Here is a 14781-nt window from a genome sequence, read left to right on the forward strand (position 1 = left end):
AGGAAGAAACTGCATCAACTAACAAGCAAAACAACCAGCTAACATCATAATGGCAGGATCAAATTCACACATAACAATATTAACTTTAAATATAAATGGACTAAATGCTCCAATTAAAAGACACAGACTGGCAAATTGGATAAAAAGTCAAGACCCATCAGTGTGCTGTATTCAGGAAACACATCTCACGTGCAGAGACACACATAGGCTCAAAATAAAAGGATGGAGGAAGATCTACCAAGCAAATGGAAAACAAAAAAAGGCAGGGATTGCAAACCTACTCTCTGATAAAACAGACTTTCAACCAACAAAGATGAAAAGAGACAAATAAGGCCATTACATAATGGTAAAGGGATCAATTCAACAAGAAGAGCTAACTATCCTGAATATATATGCACCCAATACAGGAGCACCCAGGTTCATAAAGCAAGTCCTGAGTGACCTACAAAGAGACTTAGACTCCCACACAATAATAATGGGAGACTTTAACACCCCACTGTCAACATTAGACAGATCAACAAGACAGAAAGTTAACAAGGCTACCCAGGAATTGAACTCAGCTCTGCACCAAGCGGACCTAATAGACATCTACAGAACTCTCCACCCCAAATCAACAGAATATACAGTTTTTTCAGCACCACACCACACCTATTCCAAAATTGACCACATAGTTGGAAGTAAAGCTCTCCTCAGCAAATGTAAAATATCAGAAATTATAACAAACTGTCTCTCAGACCACAGTGCAATCAAACGAGAACTCAGGATTAAGAAACTCACTCAAAACTGCTCAACTACATGGAAACTGAACAACCTGCTCCTGAATGACTACTGGGTACATAACGAAATGAAGGCAGAAATAAAGATGTTCTTTGAAACCACTGAGAACAAAGATACAACATACCAGAATCTCTGGGACACATTCAAAGCAGTGTGTAGAGGGAAATTTATAGCACTAAATGCCCACAAAAGAAAGCAGGAAAGATCTAAAATTGACACCCTAACATCACAATTAAAAGAACTAGAAAAGCAAGAGCAAACACATTCAAAAGCTAGCAGAAGGCAAGAAATAACTAAAATCAGAGCAGAACTGAAGGAAATAGAGACACAAAAACACTTCAAAAAATTAACGAATCCAATAGTTGGTTTTTTGAAAGGATCAACAAAATTGATAGACCGCTAGCAAGACTAATATAGAAGAAAACAGAGAAGAATCAAATAGACGCAATAAAAATGACAAAGGGGATATCACCACCGATCCCACAGAAATACAAACTACCATCAGAGAATACTACAAACACCTCTATGCAAATAAACTAGAAAATCTAGAAGAAATGGATAAATTCCTTGACACATACACCCTCCCAAGACTAAACCAGGAAGAAGTTGACTCTCTGAATAGACCAATAACTGGATCTGAAATTGTGGCAATAATCAATAGCTTACCAACCAAAAAGGTCCAGGACCAGGTGGATTCACAGCCGAATTCTACCAGAGGTACAAGGAGGAACTGGTACCATTCCTTCTGAAACTATTCTAATCAATAGAAAAAGAGGGACTCACTAACTCATTTTATGAGGCCAGCATCATCCTGATACCAAAGCCTGGCAGAGATGCAACCAAAAAAGAGAATTTTAGACCAATATCCTTGATGAACATTGATGCAACAATCCTCAATAAAATACTGGCAAACCAAATCCAGCAGCACATCAAAAAGCTTATCCACCATGATCAAGAGGGCTTCATCCCTGGGATACAAGGCTGGTTCAATATATGCAAATCAATAAATGTTATCCAGCATATGAACAGAACCAAAGACAAAAACCACATGATTATCTATGCAGAAAAGGCCTTTGACAAAATTCAACAACACTTCATGCTAAAAACTCGCAATAAATTAGGTATTGATGGGACATATCTCAAAATAATAAGAGCTATTTATGACAAACCCACAGCCAATATCATACTGAATGGGCAAAAACTGGAAGCATTCCCTTTGAAAACTGGCACAAGACAGGGATGCCCTCTCTCACCACTCCTATTCAACATAGTATTGGAAGTTCTGGCCAGGGCAACGAGGCAGGACAAGGAAATAAGGCATATTCAGTTAGGAAAAGAGGAAGTCAAATTGTCCCTGTTTGCAGATGACATGATTGTATATCTAGATAACCCCATTGTTTCAGCCCAAAATCTCCTTAAGCTGATAAGCAACTTCAGCAAAGTCTCAGGATACAAAATCAATGTACAAAAATCACAAGCATTCTTATACACAAATAACAGACAAACAAAGAGCCAAATCATGAGTGAACTCCCATTCGCAATTGCTTCAAAGAGAATAAAATACCTAGGAATCCAACTTACAAGGGATGTGAAGGACCTCTTCAAGGAGAACTACAAACCACTGCTCAAGGAAATAAAAGAGGATACAAACAAATGGAAGAACATTCCATGCTCATGGGTAGGAAGAATCAATATCATGAAAATGGCCATACTGCCCAAGGTAATTTCAATGCCATCCCCATCAAGCTACCAATGACTTCCTTCACAGAATTGGAAAAAACTACTTTAAAGTTCATATGGAACCAAAAAAGAGCCCTCATCGCCAAGTCAATCCTAAGCCAAAAGAACAAAGTTGGAGGCATCACGCAACCTGACTTCAAACTATACTACAAGGCTACAGTAACCAAAACAGCATGGTACTGGTACAAAAACAGAGATATAGACCAATGGAACAGAAAAGAGCCCTCAGAAATAATGCTGCATATCTACAACTATCTGATCTTTGACAAACCTGAGAAAAACAAGCAATGGGGAAAGGATTCCCTATTTAATAAATGGTGCTGGGAAAAGAGGCTAGCCATATGTAGAAAGCTGAAACTAGATCCCTTCCTTACACCTTATACAAAAATTAATTCAAGATGCATTAAAGACTTAAACATTAGACCTAAAACCACAAAAACCCTAGAAGAAAACCTAGGCATTACCATTCAGGACATAGGCATGGAGAAGGACTTCATGTCTAAAACACCAAAAGCAATGGCAACAAAAGCCAAAATTGACAAATGGGATCTAATTAAACTCAAGAGCTTCTGTACAGCAAAAGAAACTACCATCAGAGTGAACAGGCAACCTACAAAATGGGAGAAAATTTTCACAACCTACTCATCTGACAAAGGGCTAATATCCGGAATCTACAATAAACTCAAACAAATTTACAAGAAAAAAAACAAACAACCCCATCAAAAAGTGGGCGAAGGACATGAACAGACATTTCTCAAAAGAAGACATTTATGCAGCCAAAAAACACATGAAAAAATGCTCACCATCACTGGCCATCAGATAAATGCAAATCAAAACCACAATGAGATACCATCTCACACCAGTTAGAATGGCAATCATTAAAAAGTCCAGAAACAACAGGTGCTGGAGAGGATGTGGAGAAATAGGAACACTTTTACACTGTTGGTGGGACTGTAAACTAGTTCGACCCTTGTGGAAGTCAGTGTGGCGATTCCTCAGGGATCTAGAACTAGAAATACCATTTGACCCAGCCATCCCATTACAGGATATATACCCAAAGGACTATAAATCATGCTGCTATAAAGACACATGCACACGTATGTTTATTGCAGCACTATTCACAATAGCAAAGACTTGGAACCAAGCCAAATGTCCAACAACGATAGACTGGATTAAGAAAATGTGGCACATATACACCATGGAATACTATGCAGCCATAAAAAATGATGACTTCATTTCCTTTATAGGGACATGGATGAATCTGGAAACCATCATTCTCAGCAAACTATCGCAAGGACAAAAAACCAAACATCACATGTTCTCACTCATAGGTGGGAATTAAACAATGAGAACACTTGGACACAGGAAGGGGACATCACACACTGGCGTCTGTTGTTAGGGTGGGGGTAGGGGGGAGGGATAGCATTAGGAAATATATCTAATGTAAAAGACGAGTTAATGGATGCAGCACACCAACATGGCACATATATACATATGTGACAAACCTGCACATTGTGCACATGTACCCTAGAACTTAAAGTATAATAATTTAAGAAATTAACTCAAGATGGATTAAAGACTTAAATGTAAGACCAAATCCATAAAATCCCTGGAAGAATACCTAGACAATATCATTCAGGACATGGGCATGGGCAAAACTTTATGACTAAAACACCAAAAGCAATTGCAAGAAAAGCCAAAATTGACAAATGGAATCTAATTAAACTAAAGAGCTTCTGCACAGTAAAAGACACTATCATTAGAGTGAACAGGCAACCAACAGAATGGGAGAAAAATTTTGCAATCTATCCATCTGACGAAATCTAATATCCAGAATCTACAAGTAACTTAAACAAATTTACAAGAAAATAACAAACAACCATATCAAAAAGTGGGTGAAGGATATGAACAGACATATCTCAAAAAAAGACATTTATGTGTCCAACAAACATGAAAAAAAGCTCATCATCACTGATCATTACAGAAATGTAAATCAAAAACGCAATGAGATACCATCTCATGCCAGTTAGAATGGTGATTATTAAAAAGTCAGGAAACAGACTGGGCACAGTGGCTGATGCCTGTAATCCCAGCATTTTGGGAGGCCGAGGTGGGCAGATCACTTGAAGTCAGGAGTTTGAGACCAGCCTGACCCACATGGTGAAACCCTGTCTCTACTAAAAATACAACATTAGCTGGGCATGTTGGTGCATGAGTGTAATCCCAGCTACTCAGGAGACTGAGTATCACTGGAACCCGTGAGGCAGAGGTTGCAGTGAACCCAGATCCCACAATTGCACTCCAGCCTGGGCAACAAAGAACAAAACTCTGTCAAAAAAAAAATATATATATATACACAAAAATTAGCCAGTCATGGTAGTACGCACCTGTAATCCCAGCTACTCAGGAGGCCGAAGCAGGAGACTCACTTGAACCCAGGAGGCAGAGGTTGCAGTGAGCTGAGATCGGGCCACTGCACTCCAGTCTGGGTGACAGAGCCAGACTCTGTCTCCAAAACAAACAAACAAAAAAAAAGTCAGAAAACAACAGATGCTGGAGAGAATGTGGAGAAATAGGAACAGTCTTACACTGCTGGTGGGAGTGTAAATTAGTTCAACCATTGTGGAAGACTGTGTGGCAATTCCTCAAGGATCTAAAATCAGAAATATTATTTGACCCAGCAATCCCATTACTGGGTATATACCCAAATGATTATAAATCTCTCTACTATAAAGACACATGCACGCGTATATTTATTGCAGCACTATTTACAAGACCAAAGACTTGGAACCAGCGAAATGCCCATCAATGATAGACTGGATAAAAAAAATGTGGGTATTTGGCGGGGAGGAGCCAAGATGGCCGAATAGGAACAGCTCCGGTCTACAGCTCCCAGCGTGAGCGACACAGAAGACGGGTGATTTCTGCATTTCCATCTGAAGTACCGGGTTCATCTCACTAGGGAGTGCCAGACAGTGGGCGCAGGCCAGTGGGTGCGCGCACCGTGCGCGAGCCAAAGCAGGGCGAGGCATTGCCTCACCTGGGAAGCGCAAGGGGTCAGGGAGTTCCCTTTCTGAGTCAAAGAAAGGGGTGACGGACGCACCTGGAAAATCGGGTCACTCCCACCCGAATATTGCGCTTTTCAGACCAGCTTAAAAAACGGTGCACCACGAGACTATATCCCACACCTGGCTCGGAGGGTCCTACACCCACGGAATCTCACTGATTGCTAGCACAGCAGTCTGAGATCAAACTGCAAGGCGGCAGCGAGGCTGGGGGAGGGGCGCCCGCCATTGCCCAGGCTTGCTTAGGTAAACAAAGCAGCCGGGAAGCTCAAACTGGGTGGAGCCCACCACAGCTCAAGGAGGCCTGCCTGCCTCTGTAGGCTCCACCTCTGCGGGCAGGGCACAGACAAACAAAAAGACAGCAGTAACCTCTGCAGACTTAAATGTCCCTGTCTGACAGCTTTGAAGAGAGCAGTGGTTCTCCCAGCACGCAGCTGGAGATCTGAGAATGGGCAGACTGCCTCCTCAAGTGGGTCCCTGACCCCTGACCCCCGAGCAGCCTAACTGGGAGGCACCCCCCAGCAAGGGCACACTGACACCTCACACAGCAGGGTATTCCAACAGACCTGCAGCTGAGGGTCCTGTCTGTTAGAAGGAAAACTAACAAACAGAAAGGACATCCACACCAAAAACCCATCTGTACATCACCATCATCAAAGACCAAAAGTAGATAAAACCACAAAGATGGGGAAAAAACAGAACAGAAAAACTGGAAACTCTAAAATGTAGAGCGCCTCTCCTCCTCCAAAGGAAAGCAGTTCCTCACCAGCAACGGAAAAAAGCTGGATGGAGAATGATTTTGATGAGCTGAGAGAGGAAGGCTTCAGACGATCAAATTACTCTGAGCTACAGGAGGACATTCAAACCAAAGGCAAAGAAGTTGAAAACTTTGAAAAAAGTTTAGAAGAATGTATAACTAGAATAACCAATACAGAGAAGTGCTTAAAGGAGCTGATGGAGCTGAAAACCAAGGCTCGAGAACTACGTGAAGAATGCAGAAGCCTCAGGAGCCGATGCGATCAACTGTAAGAAAGGGTATCAGCAATGGAAGATGAAATGAATGAAATGAAGTGAGAAGGGAAGTTTAGAGAAAAAAGAATAAAAAGAAATGAGCAAAGCCTCCAAGAAATATGGGACTATGTGAAAAGACCAAATCTATGTCTGATTGGTGTACCTGAAAGTGACAGGGAGAATGGAACCAAGTTGGAAAACACTCTGCAGGATATTATCCAGGAGAACTTCCCCAATCTAGCAAGGCAGGCCAACGTTCAGATTGAGGAAATACAGAGAATGCCACAAAGATACTCCTCGAGAAGAGCAACTCCAAGACACATAATTGTCAGATTCACCAAAGTTGAAATGAAGGAAAAAATGTTAAGGGCAGCCAGAGAGAAAGGTCGGGTTACCCTCAAAGGGAAGCCCATCAGACTAACAGCGGATCTCTCGGCAGAAACCCTACAAGCCAGAAGAGAGTGGGGGCCAATATTCAACATCCTTAAAGAAAAGAATTTTCAACCCAGAATTTCATATCCAGCCAAACTAAGCTTCATAAGTGAAGGAGAAATAAAATACTTTACAGACAAGCAAATGCTGAGAGATTTTGTCACCACCAGGCCTGCCCTAAAAGAGCTCCTGAAGGAAGCACTAAACATGGAAAGGAACAACCGGTACCAGCCGCTGCAAAATCATGCCAAAATGTAAAGACCATTGAGACTAGGAAGAAACTGCATCAACTAACGAGCAAAATCACCAGCTAACATCATAATGACAGGATCAAATTCACACATAACAATATTAACTTTAAATGTAAATGGACTAAGTTCTCCAATTAAAAGACACAGACTGGCAAGTTGGATAAAGAGTCAAGACCCATCAGTGTGCTGTATTCAGGAAACCCATCTCACGTGCAGAGACACACATAGGCTCAAAATAAAAGGATAGAGGAAGATCTACCAGGCAAATGGAAAACAAAAAAAGGCAGGGGTTGCAATCCTAGTCTCTGATAAAACAGACTTTAAACCAACAAAGATCAAAAGAGACAAAGAAGGCCATTACATAATGGTAAAGGGATCAATTCAACAAGAGGAGCTAACTATCCTAAATATATATGCACCCAATACAGGAGCACCCAGATTCATAAAGCAAGTCCTGAGTGACCTACAAAGAGACTTAGACTCCCACACATTAATAATGGGAGACTTTAACACCCCACTGTCAACATTAGACAGATCAATGAGACAGAAAGTCAACAAGGATACCCAGGAATTGAACTCAGCTCTGCACCAAGCGGACCTAATAGACATCTACAGAACTCTCCACCCCAAATCAACAGAATATACATTTTTTTCAGCACCACACCACACCTATTCCAAAATTGACCACATAGTTGGAAGTAAAGCTCTCCTCAGCAAATGTAAAAGAACAGAAATTATAACAAACTATCTCTCAGACCACAGTGCAATCAAACTAGAACTCAGGATTAAGAATCTCACTCAAAGCCGCTCAACTACTTGGAAACTGAACAACCTGCTCCTGAATGACTACTGGGTACATAACGAAATGAAGGCAGAAATAAAGATGTTCTTTGAAACCAACGAGAACAAAGACACAACATACCAGAATCTCTGGGACACATTCAAAGCAGTGTGTAGAGGGAAATTTATAGCACTAAATGCCCACAAAAGAAAGCAGGAAAGATCCAAAATTGACACCCTAACATCACAATTAAAAGAACTAGAAAAGCAAGAGCAAACACATTCAAAAGCTAGCAGAAGGCAAGAAATAACTAAAATCAGAGCAGAACTGAAGGAAATAGAGACACAAAAAACCCTTCAAAAAATCAATGAATCCGGGAGCTGGTTTCTTGAAAGGATCAACAAAATTGATAGACCGCTAGCAAGACTAATAAAGAAAAAAAGAGAGAAGAATCAAATAGACACAATAAAAAATGATAAAGGGGATATCACCACCGATCCCACAGAAATACAAACTACCATCAGAGAATACTACAAACACCTCTATGCAAATAAACTAGAAAATCTAGAAGAAATGGATACATTCCTCGACACATACACTCTCCCAAGACTAAACCAGGAAGAAGTTGAATCTGAATAGACCAATAACAGGAGCTGAAATTGTGGCAATAATCAATAGTTTACCAACCAAAAAGAGTCCAGGACCAGATGGATTCACAGCCGAATTCTACCAGAGGTACAAGGAGGAACTGGTACCATTACTTCTGAAACTATTCCAATCAATAGAAAAAGAGGGAATCCTCCCTAACTCATTTTATGAGGCCAGCATCATTCTGATACCAAAGCCGGGCAGAGACACAACCAAAAAAGAGAATTTTAGACCAATATCCTTGATGAACATTGATGCAAAAATCCTCAATAAAATACTGGCAAACCGAATCCAGCAGCACATCAAAAAGCTTAACCACCATGATCAAGTGGGCTTCATCCCTGGGATGCAAGGCTGGTTCAATATACGCAAATCAATAAATGTAATCCAGCATATAAACAGAGCCAAAGACAAAAACCACATGATTATCTCAATAGATGCAAAAAAAGCCTTTGACAAAATTCAACAACCCTTCATGCTAAAAACTCTCAATAAATTAGGTATTGATGGGACGTATTTCAAAATAATAAGCGCTATCTATGACACACCCACAGCCAATATCAGACTGAATGGGCAAAAACTGGAAGCATTCCCTTTGAAAACTGGCACAAGACAGGGATGCCCTCTCTCACCGCTCCTATTCAACATAGTGTTGGAAGTTCTGGCCAGGGCAATCAGGCAGGAGAAGGAAATAAAGGGTATTCAATTAGGAAAAGAGGAAGTCAAATTGTCCCTGTTTGCAGATGACATGATTGTTTATCTAGAAAACCCCATTGTCTCAGCCCAAAATCTCCTTAAGCTGATAAGCAACTTCCTCAAAGTCTCAGGATACAAAATCAATGTACAAAAATCACAAGCATTCCTATACACCAACAACAGACAAACAGAGAGCCAAATCATGAGTGAACTCCCATTCACAATTGCTTCAAAGAGAATAAAATACCTAGGAATCCAACTTACAAGGGATGTGAAGGACCTCTTCAAGGAGAACTACAAACCACTGCTCAATGAAATAAAAGAGGATACAAACAAATGGAAGAACATTCCATGCTCATGGGTAGGAAGAATCAATATCGTGAAAATGGCCATACTGCCCAAGGTAATTTACAGATTCAATGCCATCCCCATCAAGCTACCAATGACTTTCTTCACAGAATTGGAAAAAACTACTTTAAAGTTCATATGGAACCAAAAAAGAGCCCACATCGCCAAGTCAATCCTAAGCCAAAAAAACAAAGCTGGAGGCATCACACTACCTGACTTCAAACTATACTACAAGGCTACAGTAACCAAAACAGCATGGTACTGGTACCAAAACAGAGATATAGATCAATGGAACAGAACAGAGCCCTCAGAAATAACACCGCATACCTACAACTATCTGATCTTTGACAAACCTGAGAAAAACAAGCAATGGGGAAAGGATTCCCTATTTAATAAATGGTGCTGGGAAAACTGGCTAGCCATATGTAGAAAGCTGAAACTGGATCCCTTCCTTACACCTTATACAAAAATCAATTCAAGATGGATTAAAGACTTAAACGTTAGACCTAAAACCATAAAAACCCTAGAAGAAAACCTAGACATTACCATTCAGGACCTAGGCATGGGCAAGGACTTCATGTCCAAAACACCAAAAGCAATGGCAACCAAAGCCAAAATTGACAAATGGGATCTAATTAAACTCAAGAGCTTCTGCACAGCAAAATAAACTACCATCAGAGTGAACAGGCAACCTACAGAATGGGAGAAAATTTTCACAACCTACTCATCTGACAAAGGGCTAATATCCAGAATCTACAATGAACTCAAACAAATTTACAAGAAAAAAACAAACAACCCCATCAAAAAGTGGGCGAGGGATATGAAAAGACACTTCTCAAAAGAAGACATTTATGCAGCCAAAAAACACATGAAAAAATGCTCATCATCACTGGCCATCAGAGAAATGCAAATCAAAACCACTATGAGATATCATCTCACACCAGTTAGAATGGCAATCATTAAAAAGTCAGGAAACAACAGGTGCTGGAGAGGATGTGGAGAAATAGGAACACTTTTACACTGTTGGTGGGACTGTAAACTAGTTCAACCATTGTGGAAGTCAGTGTGGCGATTTCTCAGGGATCTAGAACTAGAAATACCATTTGACCCAGCCATCCCATTACTGGGTATATACCCAAATGACTATAAATCATGCTGCTATAAAGACACATGCACACGTATGTTTATTGCGGCACTATTCACAATAGCAAAGACTTGGAACCAACCCAAATGTCCAACAATGATAGACTGGATTAAGAAAATGTGGCACATATACACCATGGAATACTATGCAGCCATAAAAAATGATGAGTTCATGTCCTTTGTAGGGAGATGGATGAAATTGGAAACCATCATTCTCAGTAAACTATTGCAAGAACAAAAAACCAAACACCGCATATTCTCACTCATAGGTGGGAATTGAACAATGAGATCACATGGACACAGGAAGGGGAATATCACACTCTGGGGACTGTGGTGGGGAGGGGGGAGGGGGGAGGGATAGCTTTGGGAGATATACCTAATGCTAGATGACGAGTTAGTGGGTGCAGCACACCAGCATGGCACATGTATACATATGTAACTAACCTGCACATTGTGCACATGTACCCTAAAACTTAAAGTATAATTAAAAAAAATAAATAAATAATTTAAAAAAAAAGAAAAAAAAATGTGGCACATATACACCTTGGAATACTATGCAGCTATAAAAAAGGATGAGTTCGTGTTCTTTGCAGGGACATGGATGAATCTGGAAACCATGATTCTCAGCAAAGTAACACAGGAACAGAAAACCAAACACCACATGTTCTTACTCATAAGTGGGAGTTGAACAATGAGAACACAGGGACACAGGGAGGGGAACATCACACACCAGGGGATGTCGGGGAGCAGGAGGCAAGGGGAGGGATAGCATTAGGAGAAATACCTAATGCATGCCAGGCTGAAAACCTAGATGATGGGTTGATGGGTGCAGCAAACCACCATGGCACATGTATACCTATGTAACAAACCTGCACCTTCTGCACATGTATCCCAGAACTTAAAGTATAATAAAAAAGAAAAGAAAGGAAAGCCACAAAGAAATACCATCTTACCTCAGTCAGAATGACTATGATTAAAAGCGTGAAAAATAACAGCTGTTGGCAAGGATATGGAGAAAGGAGAACTCTTATACACCCCTGGTGGGAATGTTAATTAGTACAGCTTCTATAGAAAACAGTGTGATTTCTCAAAGAACTAAAACTAGAACTATATTTCCATTGAGCAATCCTACAACTGGGTATCTCCCCAAAGGAAAAGTAGTCAATGTATCAAACACATACCTTGACCTGTATGTTTATTGTAGCAACATTCACAGGAACAAAGATATTGAATCAACCTAAGTGTCCATTAATGAATGATTTGATTAAAAATGTAATTATGTATACCCAATGCCATATCACTCAATCATAAAGAGAGAATGAAATCACATATTTTGTGGCAATATGGATGGAACTGGGGGTCATTTTCTTAAGCAAAACAGGCTAGATACAGAAAATGAAATATAACACGCTCTCACTTGTAAGTGGTTGCTAAAGAATGTGTTTGCACAGATGAAGAGAGTGAAATAATACACAATGAAGACTGGGAAGTTGGGGAGGCACTTGCCACACTTGAGCAGTTGAGCAGTAGGATATTAATTAATAAATGCAGATTTTGTTATTGAATAATGAATACTCTAATGTCATGGCTTAAGCACTATGTAATCTATTTAACAAAACCAAACTTGTAATACATACATTTGTGCAAATAAACATTTTTTAAAATTAACAGAAACTCTAGGCATACTGCTCCCCCATCCTCACCATTAAAAAGAAGAGGCAATGACCAGTGTGGCCACAGCAGAATGAACTAGGTATAGAGCAGCCACCAATTCCAGAGATAGTTAGGGCTCAATACATAGGACTTCAGCATAGTTAAATAATTAGCATTTTGTTCTTAGAGAGTAAAAGTGTGGCCATCAACTGGAAAACATAGAAAAGTAATATAATTTTTAAATGGCCAAGGTGGGTAATTGATTGTTGGGAAATAAATAGAACTATTTGGTGTAAACTGCAGATGAGGCTTGCTTAGATGGGCTGATAGAGATGAAAATGATGAAACTGGCTGCAGTAGGAAATTGTTTTGAAGCTTGAATTTCACAATGATAACATAGCTGATTTGACTAGATGTAATGTGATGTAAGAGGAAAAGAGAAGAGTCTAGAATAAATCCTAGTTTCCTTAATTAATTAGATGAATAATTTACCAAGACCAAATAGAGTTGGAAGAGGAGTAACTTTGTAGTTACAGGAGGGAAGAGGCAGAGGTAGGAGAAACCCGAGGAGAGAGTGGGAGGTTCCCGGAAAGATTGATAGAGTGTTCCCAAAAGAATTGTAGGATCAATGGTGTTAAACTGCCAAGGGGTCACAGGAGATGCAGGACTGATAATCGATTCCTGAAATGAGTGGAATGCAGGCAGTAGATGACCTTGACAGACTTGGAGTGGAAAGAACAAAAGCATCTTTAATGTGTGTTTAAAAAGAAAATGGAAGGGAGGGGATGGGGAAATAATCACATACATATGTTTCAAGAACTTTTGCAATAAAAATGGCAGACAAATAATAGGGTAGGAAAGAAACACTAAGAGTCTTAGCAAAACCTCTGTAAAAATGGGTGATGTTTCAGCAGGCTTTTGCTGATTGAGGTAATCCCATAGAGCATAGATGTAAGAATCAGGAGACAAAAGGGTCACATACAGAAGCAAAATCCTTGACTGGGTAATGTGGTTCAGAATCAAGAGGAAAGATAAGAGATAGGGGTAGGGAGCCTTCAACTATGATAATAGGAGAGAAGTCAGAGAACTGGGATTGAACTGAATGTGGGTTGCTCAACTTGGTGATGGTTACAGTGAGATCCTTCTATTCTGAAATTTCTGAAATTCATAGTGAATTATCTGAGGCTATCGGTGGGCACAGGGGCAGTTTTCTAATATTGAACCTTCCTTGCTTGAGAAGCAGACATGCCAATCTCTGCAAGGTTTTTGGTACATATGTTATCTGAATAGTCTCCATATTCTAAGGTAGTTGTTTTGATTCTTCTCATTGTAGATGAGGAAATTGAAGCTCTGAGAGACCAAGTAGCTTTTTAAGAGTTCAGGCTAGCAAGAAAGAGTTATGTCTTAACTAAAATCTGAGAGTGTCCCAATTCTTTGCTCCTAAAAGTCATGCTGCCTCCTTGATGAAATCCATTCAGGTTTCATTAAAGAAAGGTGAGGAACATAGGGAGGGAGGGAAGTGATCACTGTTAAAATAGGGTCAATGGGATAGAGAGGGCTCTGGGAATAAGAAGCATAGAACCCTGTTTGTTCCCTTGAAACCAAACTCAGTTTCTTAGAAATTATAAGGATTTCTTTTAGTTTCTGTGACTTATTTTCCATTTGTTGTGGTTTTTGTCCTTAAAATTACTGGAATATCAGTAAACAATCTGAAAATAATTTTAGATTTTCAATTTGTGCTGTAGAAGTCAGGGAGGAGCCAGGTGTGGTGGCTCATGCCTGTAATCCCAACACATTTGGAGGCCAAGGCAAGCGGATGACCTGAAGTCAGAATTTCTAGCCTAGCCTGGCCAACAGGGTGAAAACGCATCTCAACTAAAATTACAAAAATTACCCAGGTGTGATGGTGGGAACCTGTAATCCCAGCTACTGTGAAGGGTGAGGCAGGAGAATAGCTTGAACCCAGGAGGTGCAGGTTGCAGTTAGCCAAGATCACGCCACTGCATTCCAACCTAGGTGATAGAGCAAGACTCCATCTCAGAAAAAGAAAAAAAAATTGAAGTCAGGGAAAGAGATAAACAGCAAAACATTTTTCATGGCAGCTGGCTAAGTTAGGATTAAAGAGAAGGGAAACTCCCTGGAAGCATCAGACAGAAGGGGTCCTAGATGTTCTTATAATGTGTTCTTGGTCCTCACATTCCACATTCACAAACACTGAGAAAGAACACCACAATCA

General features: G+C 40.2%; 1 annotated feature.

Annotated features, from left to right (window-relative positions):
* Nucleotides 5579-6174: an enhancer, noted in NCBI's record as "H3K27ac-H3K4me1 hESC enhancer chr12:11450808-11451403 (GRCh37/hg19 assembly coordinates)". NCBI's record gives its function as "activates a minimal SCP1, AML or CMV promoter by ChIP-STARR-seq in primed H9 embryonic stem cells {active_cell/tissue: H9 hESC(primed)}" and the evidence as "EXISTENCE:reporter gene assay evidence [ECO:0000049][PMID:30033119]".

Source organism: Homo sapiens, chromosome 12 (genome assembly GCF_000001405.40).
Source record: "Homo sapiens chromosome 12, GRCh38.p14 Primary Assembly".
In the NCBI taxonomy this organism is placed as follows: Eukaryota; Metazoa; Chordata; class Mammalia; order Primates; family Hominidae; genus Homo; species Homo sapiens.